The sequence below is a fragment of the Homo sapiens genome, chromosome 2 (genome assembly GCF_000001405.40).
Source record: "Homo sapiens chromosome 2, GRCh38.p14 Primary Assembly".
Taxonomy (NCBI): domain Eukaryota; kingdom Metazoa; phylum Chordata; class Mammalia; order Primates; family Hominidae; genus Homo; species Homo sapiens.
Window position 1 is genome coordinate 226,725,472 of NC_000002.12, and position 12,120 is coordinate 226,737,591.

Genomic DNA, 12,120 nt, shown 5'->3' on the forward strand with positions numbered 1-12,120 from the left:
ATCCCTTTTCCCCGGGAATCAAAAATGGACACAGCTACACTCACAAAAAAAAAAATTGCATTCAATTTGAGAGCGTTGAGAAAATTCTGAACCCCAGGTTAAGATCAGATGTCCCTCCTATTTTATAAACAAAGAGCTGGAGAGCCAGAGAAAAGAAGTGCTTTGCTTGAAGTCACAGTTAGTTAGTGGCAAGACAAAACTAAGATCTGAAGTTTTCACACGGTCATTAAAAGAAATGCTCCCCGTCAGATTTCCATCTGTCAAACATTTCGGCAAACAGACATGGGAGGGTTACTCTATTCAGGAAGAAGTTTGTTTAGCTCAGCCAAACTTACTTTATTTTTCAACAGATGAAGTAAACCAGACTCAGAACTCTACATCTTTTTTTTCACATATGGGGGATGGGACTCTCCTAACTGGAATAGTTGGTGTGTGGCGGGGAGGAGAGGAGGATGTGTAATTAAATGAAACCTTTGAATTTAAACCAGAAACACCCTGCTGATGAAAAAAAAAAAAGAAAAAAACACAAAAGTTGCTGTTTTAGACAAATCATTAACATTTCCTCCTCGAATTGTATGTGTGTATGAATGGGGTGTGTTTGTGGGTGTGTGTGTATGGGTGGAATGTGTTTGTGTGTGTGGCTGGCTGTGTGTGTGGGTGGGGTGAGGGTGTGTGTGTGTGTGTGTGTGTGTGTGTGTGTGTGTGTGTATTTGGCTTCCGTTTTTTGTGAAAAGCAAATGAGAAGCAGCGTGTACCCCATTAGGGTAGGGAAAAACTTTTAATTAAGAGTTGAGTGTTAAGAGGTTAATACGAGACAGCCAAGGAGCACTTCCATCCTGACTCAACCAGAAGCCTTCAGAAGCGCTGGAGAAGGAAGTTGGATTAAAGAGCGGGACCTGGGGAGGGGCACAAGTTGTGCCTGGAGCATCAAAACTGAAAATCAAGAGATTCTCCATGGCATTTTTTGTCAACCAAGTGACGTAAATGTTTACCAGGATTTTAAAGAACATGGTTTCTTTTTCAGTTTCCGTGTGTTTGGATTATTAATGAAACTAAGTTGGAATCCTACTTTCTAACTGGGTGACCTTGGACAAGTCCCCTTCTAGAATTTAGGGTGTGATGAATGAATAGTGGGATTTTATGATGAAAATGCCAAGGAAATACCTTCCTATTTTATCTGTGACTCAGTTTAGAACAATGGTTCTTTTTTTTTAAATCCAATAATCCCCACATATTTTATCCGCCTCTGGTAGGTTACCATGCACTGTCTTCCTGGACAGAATTCACTTTCCTGCGACTCATCTCTATTCTCAGCACTGCAGCTGATCATAAGTTAGAAAAAAAGAATGGAAAAGACCTGCCTGTTTATTGTCCCTCCTATGGGGTGAGGTCCTGCCACTCTGGGTGCCACAGTTTGCTCTGAACTTCCTGTGGACCCTTGAGGAAACCCAATGTCTATTTGAAAAGGACCACTCTAAATGATTTCTACTGTTTTTGTTTTTTTATCTAGAAAAATTGAGGCATCAACAAAAAAGTCATCCTAGCTCTACTCTAATTAAGCTGAACTGTATTTACTTGCCCAGCTGTAAAATAGTGTTCTGGTGTTTGTAGATAAACACTTTTAAGAAGTCCTATTAGCACTTCAACAGTCATTGCATAAGGAGTCAGAGGGGATCATAAACTCTATCCAACAGCACTTGTAATTGCAGCAACAAAGCTCCAACATCTTCCAGGATAACTTTTTTAGCAGGTCCGGGAGAATTTCAGAAGCCCAGGGCAAGGGGGTTTGCCTCAGATCCCAATTCTTTCTTGAAAACAGCTATGGCAGGGGCCAGCAAACATTTTCTATGAAGGGCCAAATAGTATTTTACTTTTCAGGCCATTCAGTCTTTGTTGCAGCTACTCAATTCTGCTGTCGTGGTGCCACAGGCAATATGTAAATGAATGAGTGCAGTTATGTTTCAATAAAACTTTATTTACAAAAACAGGCAGCAGGCTGGATTTGGCCTCTGGGTCAGAGCAGGGAATGATCTTTGATTTATAGACTATGGAGTAGCAAGTTTAAATGTGGGGGTTCACTAAGATTCTCATCCAACCCCTTTTGTATTTTTAAATAATATTTTATTATTTTCTTTCTCCAGATAAAAAGAGATATGATTATTATAAACACTCACAGAAAAACAGAAAAGAAAAATTATTCACAATGCCATCAGACATACCACTTGTTAATATTTTGGAACAGAGTCTTCCATTTACATATATATATCTATACATGTATATATATATATATGCTTATTTTATAGAATTAGGAAAATTCTGTATGATGCTGTATACAAAAATTTACCTAATATCCTTATTTTCATGCTACTTCCTACATAAGTTTAGACAAATTTTACTAATTTTTACTTTACGGATTGTTTGCTTTTTGGGAGCAATGAGGAACTCCACCTGTATCATTTCTTCTCTCACATTTACAATTATGGGACTTTAGTCCTTGAGATTTGGGGCAACTAACATAGAAATGGAAGCAGATAGGATATTGCCTAATGAACTCCAATAACGTGTTCCTCCAGGGTCAGGTGTAGAACAACCCCAGAGAGAAGGGGTGTGTGTGTGTGTGTGTTATTGGGGAACCATTTATTAATATAGTTTCCTGTAGCCCTTGTTAAAATCTGTATTGTTTTAAGCCCTTTAGAAACTCTGATATAGGTGGTCTGCAGCTCAAGTTCTGAAAAACACTGAGTGTATATCAGAAAAGAGCTTCAATCATTCATTCACTTCAGGTGAGGACTCATTCTTCAATTCAGATGATACCCAAGCATCCGCCTCCCATTTTTCCCATTGCCAATCTTGGCCATTTTTCTAATCATTGATATCCCTAACAGATAATAGTAGAAGTTCTCATTTAAAAGGGTTTACAGGAGGTAATACATAAATCCTAACGCCTAAAACAACAGCTGTTAGGATTTCATGTGGCTTTCACATTTAACCTACTGTCCTGTGTGTTCCTAAAATAAAGCCAGATATTTCAATCGTGTTGCTGAAAAGAGGTGCACTTATTGGGAAAATCAATAGGGAACCAGAAAATGACTTTTGACACAAATGATCTAAGCTAGACACCAAGACAAAGAATGGAAATAAATAGAATAAGGCCCTGTTACCTCGTAGGGTGAAAGTTATCAGTTGGACAGAGCTTTACTTTCAGGCTTCTGTGAGATGATGTTTGCTCAGCGAATTTGTCACACAAGGCAGCTGGAGTAACAATGTTTTTAATTAATGGAAAATTATTTTTTAAGTACTTGGAAACCAGAAATTTGCAGCGGTGTCAATGAGAATATAAACCATCAAGAAGTCCTCAGGCTAAGCACAGTGGCTCACGCCTCTAATCCCAGCACTTTGGGAGGCTGGGGTCCTGCCCTCGAGTGGACTACTTAAGGTCAGGAGTTCGAAACCAGCCTGGCCAACATGGTGAAACCCTGTCTGTATAAAAAATATGAAAATTATCTGGCATGTTGGCATGCGCCTATAATCCCAGCTACTTGGGAGACTGAGGCAGGAGAATCTCTTGAACCCAGGAGGCTGAGGTTGCAGCAAGCCAAGATCCCATCGCTGTACTCTAGCCTAGGAGACAGAGTGAGACTCTGTCTAAAAAAAAAAAAAAAAAGAAGTCCTCAGTATGGCAAGAAGCTCCTCCCCTCAGCAGCCTGTGACCACAGACTTACTCCTTATCTACCTCTAGGTTGCTGGGAAAATAAAATAATTGATATAAATCCTAGTGGCTAGCCCACAATGAATGCAGAATAAATGTTGCTATTGTTTATAATAGAATCAGTGAGGTAATTACAGATTCTCCTTGACCATTAATTCTCAAAGGCCTTTCATTGACATTTTACTTGCTATTTTGTTTCTGTATATGTGTAAAGGTAATAAGACAGTTATGCTATAAATTGCACCATTAATACATTCCAACTAAACTTCCCTCAAATTAATACTAATTATTGATGTTTACATATAATTTCAAAGGGATTAGAGTGATGTTTGCTTTGCAATACCATTGGGAGGGAAAAATCAGTGTTTAAGTATAAATGGAGGAAGATAATATAAAGTGAAGATCAAATAATGACTTTAAGCATTTACTAAATCATGTTGTGTGCTGCTTCTTAACAATAAAAATATCGCTTACACTGGCAAACAGAAGGAAGATCCCTCTAGCCTGGTGCACCAAGTAAGGGTGGAAAAGTCAGTCTTTATACTCTCAGCGGAGCATCATGCTCATAAAAATTTTTGTAATAATATTAAATTTTTTAATTAATATTTTTTGAGATGGGATTTTACTCTGTGGCCCAGGTTGGAGTGTGGTGGTGTAATCATAGTTTGTTGCAGCCTCAACCTCAGAGGCTCAAGCAACCCTCCCACCTCAGCCTCCCAAATATCTGGAACTACAGGTGCACACCACCACATCTGGCTGAATTTTTAAATTTTTTTTACAGATAGGGTCTCACATTTTTCTGCAGGCTGGTCCTGAACTCCTAGCCTCAAGTGATCCTCCTGTCTCAGCCTCCCAAAGCACTGAGATTATAGGCGGGAACCACCATGCTCAGCCTTAAATACTAAAGTGTCCAATAATGTGAGTTTGCCCTGAAACATAGGACACATCAATCATCTTCTATTTTAAATGGTTTAAGCAAGATAGCTCACAGAAGTTGGGGGTGCTTGACTGCTTCAATATTGGCAACATGATTTATTATTTTCAAAAATTATAGGTGTTATTATCCTTTCTAGTGGAGAAATGACCCACAAATCTCCAGTTGTACAGAAATCAGTATTTCCCAAACTTTCCAAGCAGAAGAGTCACCTGCTTAAAGATACACATTCCTAGACCACTCCAGGGAATCAGGATTTCTAATAGCAGCTCTAGTAATCGGACAAGTTTGGGTAACTCTTTCCAGCACTGGTTCTTAGCACTCACCACTTGCTAGAATCTGCTGGGAAGCATGAAAAACAGCAGCAACAACAATGATAACAGATGTCCAGGCCCCATCTCCAACCAATTTAATCAGTATGCATCTCCTAAGTTGGCCTGGCCATGGATGTGTTTTCTAAAGCCACTCAGATCATGCTAATATGCAGCCAGGCCTGAGAAACACCAACTGCTTTGCCTCGGTACTCAGTGTCATTGGAACTAGCAGGACTGGCCTCTTCTGGGAGCTGGTTAGAAGTGCAGGATCTCAGGCCTGGCCCCAGGCCCTGAGATGACGATCTGCTTTTTTTTTTTTTCTGAGATGGAGTCTCACTCTTTCACCCAGGCTGGAGTGCAGTGGCGCTATCTGGGCTCACTGTAACCTCTGCCTCCCAGGTTCAAGCAATTCTCTGCCTCAGCCTCCCGAGTAGCTGGGATTACAGGTGCCTGCCACCACGCCCGGCTAATTTTTTTGTATTTTTAGTAGAGAGAGGTTTTCACCATCTTGGCTAGGCTGGTCTTGAACTCCTGACCTCATGATCCACCCGCCTCAGCCTCCCAAAGTTCTGGGATTACAGGCGTGAGCCACCTGTACCCGGCCGAACAAATTCTTTAAGAGATCTGTGTGCACACTAAAGATTCAAGTATGCATATCAAGGGAACAAAAACCTTTCCACCAAGAGGATGGATTTTTGCTCCCCTCTCCCCTCTACCTTTGCCAGCACTACCATCAAAAGCAGCTTAAAACCTTGACTGAGGTCTTTTTCTTTATACACTTAGCCATTGAAAGCCAACTGAAGAGTGATAGGGTGAGGCCCACCTATCTGTTCCAAAATCATTTAGGAAAGCATGTTAAACAGCATACACTGCTCTTACCCAATCAAATGTCTCCGCAAAATTTAATTGGCAGTTTGTTTCATGTCCAGCAATCAAAGACATTAAGGACCACTAATATTTACATCCATGAATTCATTTAGACAGTTTTCTTTAATTGATGATGAAGACACTACAATTCTAAGTACCAGACAGAATCAGGAAAAAAAAAATTGAAAATAAGCATAACACTATAAAGAAAACTTGGAAAAGTGAAACACTTCTAAATAAAAAATATATACCTGGCCTGGCACCCATTACATATATACATAATACATGTTATAAACATATATACAGTAAATGTTTTGGTAGCAATACAGACCATGCATTGGTCTTTGTGTACACAGATGAAGTAGCACCGGGGCAGCACCACCATCTTAAGATGATAAACCAAACTGCACATACATTAAATGAAAATACATATATGTTTAATTTGGCCCACCCTGTAGCCAAGAGGTGTAAGGAAAGTACTTTGCAAGAAAAAATTGTTTTGGGAACTACATTCTTAAGCCAATGGTGAAGTTCTAAAAAGAAAAAGAAAAAAAAAACCCTACAAATGTCTATGCAAATATGGACAAGTTTTCCTGTTTACTGAATTTGTCCTATCCTATGGCATACTCGTTAACAGCATAAGCAAAGAGAGATTTAAATGCCAAGTGAATGGCAGAAGTCTAAAACACCAGATCTTTTGGTGTATACGTCACAAATGGCAAGTCATACACAAACTAGAAAAGAAAGCTAACTCTCCACCTAAGTCATGTGTTTTCTAGTCATGTTAGCTAATTATAAGCTCTTTATTCATAATTAATTCCTCGAGTAGGGTTAAGCACCTCCAATATCATTCCACCTCCTCCCTGCCCCTAATGTGATGCTCTGTTTACAAGTAGTGGGAGACACACAACAGGCTACATATTCTCTACCCATACTTAGGAGACAGACTTACAGAACTACGGAAGGACCACAAAGATCTTCTGTGGCGCTGCCTCAGAAAGGACCCATGGCCCCAGTGTTTATCCTCGGTGTTCTACTCACTATGAAGCTGTTTTTGTTCTCCATAACTGAGCTCACAGTCTAGAGGTCTTTTAGTCTTGGCAAGGTCATATTTCCTCACATTCCTAGAAGAGCATGCTTCTTCCTCTCAAGTTTCTCACAAGCCTATACATCTATATATATATATATATATATATACACACACACACATATGTGTATCTATATATGTGTGTATATATATCTATATATGTGTATATATATCTATATATGTGTGTATATATCTATATATTTGTATATATTCATCTATATATACACACACACATCCCACACACACGTCACATATATATACACACACACAAAGACACACACATGTCACATATATATACACACACACATATATATACACACACACAAACACACACACACACACACACACACATATACAGCATTACCTCCAACTAACATTCATCATTCATGGCATCCTAGGAACATTAACTCCCCTGTCAAGTCATTGCAAAGAAGAAATTTCATATTGGCTTCCACCCATTCTTCTTCCCATTCCTACCAAAAGGGTCACATCTCTCCCCGCCAAGGTCTTAATTCACAGTGTCTGGATTCAGGGCCTCCTTGTGTGATGGACTAACCTACAGAGTGCTCTGCAAAAGCAGCATGAGACCAAATATGGGGTCATTGTCACCAGCAGTTGGAAGACTGCACATGGATACTATTTGTCATGGCTCTCGTTGTCAGTGGATGGTGAAACCCTTTCCCCCCTTTTTTTAACCACCTGCAGTAAATAAATATAAAGTTTCCGACTTTGTGGTATATTGTATTCAAGATGCAAGATTGAATAAAACAGGGCTTCAGTATTGTAAAATACTGTTTCTTACCATACAGAAAAATTGTTTCTTAATACTTCAAATGTCTCAAATTTAAATGATAGCTAGAAGACAAAAGCCAGGGAAAGAAAGGTTAAAAATCTCTACTTCTGGCTAGATGACTTTTAGTAGATCCATTTTTGCAGTCACTGGATTAGTCAAGAGTCCTTGACCTTTGAAAGTCAGCAAGAAATAGCCACAAATGTAACATCAGTACTGATTTCTCATTATTGACTCAGGTGGTTGATCATTAATGGATTCTCTTCACTTCTAGCTGGTTCTAGGGCCATTCTTTTGCCCAGAATGAAGATATCATCAAAGTCATAAAACATATTTGTTCTTTTCGCAAAAGAGGATTTTAAAACTCTGCTTAAGTCTCTAAGGAAAAACGCTGTGAGAGGTTGGTGTCATCAAGAAAAACCCACTAACTTCTAGGTTAACCAGAGGCCACTAGAAGCCTCAATAATGAAAGCCCTTGGCTGGCCTACAAATGCTTTGAAATGGATAAAAGCCAACTCTCCTCAATGGGAACTGAACACAAGGACTCAGCAGCTGACGTTGCTCAAAGGAAACCCTTCGTGTCGCCAGAGTATGAACTTTTGGTTTGAGTACCAGCAACTTCCAGTTTTAAATCGGTAGTTTGATGCCACCATCAAAACCAGCTCAGGCACCACTAGAAGCAGCTTAAATAAGAATTTCTACCTTTATGCTTTTCGACTCAAAAAGTCAGAGAAATAGAAACCAAGAGATAGATTTTTCCAGTCTGTTCATTTCTGCTCTCATTCAAAACATGTTGATAATTCCACATGTAGAGGTATCTCGGTAACACATATTCAAAGTGTAGGTTCCTTGAGAAATAATAACCAGCTTTACAGGAAAATGGTTGGGAGTGACTTTGTTCATTGATTTCTCTTTAACTATTTCAGTCCTCAAAGGAAAAGAGCAGGGCAGCTTGCTCTCTTCTTCCACTAGCAAGAGTATGAATCAGAATGCTTGAAAATATGAAAAGTTAGTTTGACTAAGAAAGTCTTTTTTTACAAGAGTAAAAAACAACTTTCATATCAGATTTTCAAAATGGGTAGTGCTCTCTACTAATAGGAAATGATGTAATTCTGCAAGTTCCTTGAAAACAATGGATTCTTATGACTCTAGACCCTATTTATCTTAGAAATTGATGAGCATGCAAATGATTAAAATCTGCAATAACGGACACTGCACAACAGTCTGTGAGGTACATGCCACCTGGCTGAATGAACAGTAACACGGGCCTCAGCAGTGTGAGGGGTTCCATTTATCTCCGCTCCCTTTTGAGTAGAGCTGGGGTCCCCAAACAGTTCATCAGGAGGCAGCAGCCACTACAATGCCCTCCAACCCTGGCCCCTACCTTGTAGTCCCCACTCCCACCCAGGGAGCTTAGGCGTTCAGAGAAATAAAATGTTGCTCCTCCCAATAGTAGGGATGCGAATTCCTGATAGAGAGATAGAGGCTCCCACAGACTCAGAGGGAGCCTGATATTTGCATTAATTCATTTAACCTTTAGGAAGTTTCCTGGTAAAAAGATTTAAAAATCTGTCGGCAATATCTTTAAATGCATTCATTGCCATTTGTTTTTCACGTGGAAAAAATTCCAAGACGTGTATACTTTCCAAACAAGAAAAGAATTAACATTTTCACTGCTGGCTAGGTGTTTCAGTAGCAGGTCATTAAGCTTTTCTGTGCTCTCTGTACGCTGTGTTTTGTTAACTAATCACTAATAGGCCAGCACCCACCAAGGCAAATGGGCCAATTACATTCAGTTAAATAATGTAACACTGGAAGTTCTCAAAAAATATGAGATAAGGTAAGAGTCTTAGGGAAGGTGACACATAGCCCTGGTCATAATGAAAAACACTTACTGGAATTTTAATTTCTGGTTAGCAACAGCTCACTTGCCTTACCATCTTTCTCAAGACAATGCAGGAAATGAAATATATCATAATGTGTGCACAGAAAAAAATGGTGGGAATAGAGCAGGAAACTTACAGAAGTGGTGGGGGGAGGGGACAGAAGAAAAGATCAACAGTATCTAGTTTATTATGAATAGAAAGACATTTCCAGAATTTACAAACGCCCACATTGTTCATTCCAAAGAGAGCTTTTGAATTGAAGGAATCACCCATCTCCTTCTGTTTACAATACATGCAATGGAAGACTTTAATTTCCTCTTCTTATAATTTTGCTTCCATTCAATTACCAATTTTAAGCTGACATTTGAAAACACCCAGCCAAATATATCCTTCTTCAGTTTAATTAACATGGCCTATTGTCTTACAGGAAAAAATACAAAATTAAGATTAATTCTTATAAGGAACTCAGCTCAACATCAGGTTTATATGACAAGAGATAGTATCAGCAAATATAACTATACAATTGAGAACCATCTATGGCACTATGATTCTTATATTATGTTTTCTGAATTACAATCTTAAAACAAGGATCATACCCTATTCTACTCTTTTAAGCCTTGTTTTAAGCATTTGCTCCACTCTTTACAACAGAACATTGTATACCTCCATCCCACATCCAAAAAAAAGATGTGCTGTAAGAAAAGTTACATTTTCATTTAAAAAATTACACATATAAATCAAAACCTATGTTAAATATTTAATACTCTCTCCACCCAACGTGAACAGTTTTGTATGAAATAATTTACAATGATGCTTTGTCGTACACAGTTTCAGCAGCAGATGAAATGTATCTTGAAAATGCATTGAGAGTAAACCCATTCTCTCATGACACGGTGGTGGGCACATCAGCTCACTGTGGCCAGCTAAGTCCTTAAGGTTGAAGATGAAGTTTATGCAGACTCATTATTCTGGTGTCACAGTGCATTTTTTTTTTTCGCTTGGCACAATATAGAACGTGCAGTTCAGTCAATGAAATCCTGAGGATTGGATAAAGTAAACAAACTGAAATGGATGCATCGTACCATCTACTGATGAGGAAGATATGAGGTCCTAGTTGTGAATCATGAAATATTTAGAGTCTGGGTACCCATGAGTTAGAAGAGGATTTGCTGAGGTCATTTAGGTCTTCATTCTGAAAAGAAAAAGGAAAGAATTCAGCACCACAGGTATCTCAAACTGCACAATCACTACTTTAGAACCTTTCTTTTACAAGGGGCAGCGTCACATAAACTGAAGTTACAGGCACAAATAGTACTGTCCACCTAAATATGATCAACAAACTGTATTTAGCTTTTTATTTATTTCAAAATGCAAGAGTCTAAAGAAATCACTAACCAAAAGTCATCAATGTGGAATCTGTAAACAAATCAACATGATCTGGATGTTTCAGAGGTTTAGCAAAGGAAAAATAGAAAATTCTTTGGTGTTGTGATTGAAGCAAAAACATACATCATTAGTTGCTATGTAAAATGACCATCCGACATGAGCGGGTTGTAGTCAGTCTGTGTTGTATCTCCTTCTGGTTGAAAGTCAGCTGCAGATTTTAGAATTTGAAGTTGCAGAGCTTCACATGACAAAATCGGAAATCAATTTTTCATGTGCACAAACATTGTTTGACATGAGAATTTTAGATGCAAAGGGAGACCCAAGCAAAACGGACCTACTGAATCATTAAATAAGAAAACAAAAAGATTCAGATTTACGTCTAATAGAAATAAGTTATTTAGGCAGAAGCACAGCATTTCTTCTTTGCAAGTCAAGAAGGTAAATTTTAAAGGGTCACTATCCGTGATTCCCCTTCAGAGTGAAGACTCTTTTTTTTTTACTTTTTTTATTATTATACTTTAAGTTTTAGGGTACACATGCACATTGTGCAGGTTAGTTACATACGTATACATGTGCCATGCTGGTGTGCTGCACCCACTAACTCGTCATCTAGCATTAGGTATATCTCCCAGTGTTATCCCTCCCCCCTCCCCCCACCCCACAACAGTCCCCAGAGTGTGATGTTCCCCTTCCTGCATCCATGTGATCTCATTGTTCAATTCCCACCTATGAGTGAGAATATGCGCTGTTTGGTTTTTTGTTCTTGTGATAGTTTACTGAGAATGATGATTTCCAATTTCATCCATGTCCCTACAAAGGACATGAACTCATCATTTTTTATGGCTGCATAGTATTCCATGGTGTATATGTGCCACATTTTCTTAATCCAGTCTATCATTGTTGGACATTTGGGTTGGTTCCTTTTCAACCTCATAAAGCATCTTTTACTCAAGTATTACACTACCTAGTCTTTTACAGGTCCTTGTTTTTCATGCATTCAAAACTTATCTATAAATATCAGTATCTACAGAGTGCATCAAAGGGTATTTAGCAGAGAGTAGATCAGAAATACTTGTTGAATGAGTACGTGGTTGCACTAAATACTAGGAAGTGTAGAAAGCTGGATTCTGTTGGAAGCCCTGCCTTC

General features: G+C 38.8%; 1 protein-coding gene across 1 annotated transcript in view; it reads right to left on the minus strand.

The window, feature by feature from the left end:
* IRS1 (insulin receptor substrate 1) overlaps positions 5,841 to 12,120 on the minus strand; it is a 68,509-nt gene continuing 62,229 nt past the window's right edge. The window contains exon 2 of the mRNA NM_005544.3: positions 5,841 to 10,779. The gene's annotated coding sequence lies outside the window, so the exon portion shown is untranslated. The remainder of the gene's footprint in view (positions 10,780 to 12,120) is intronic.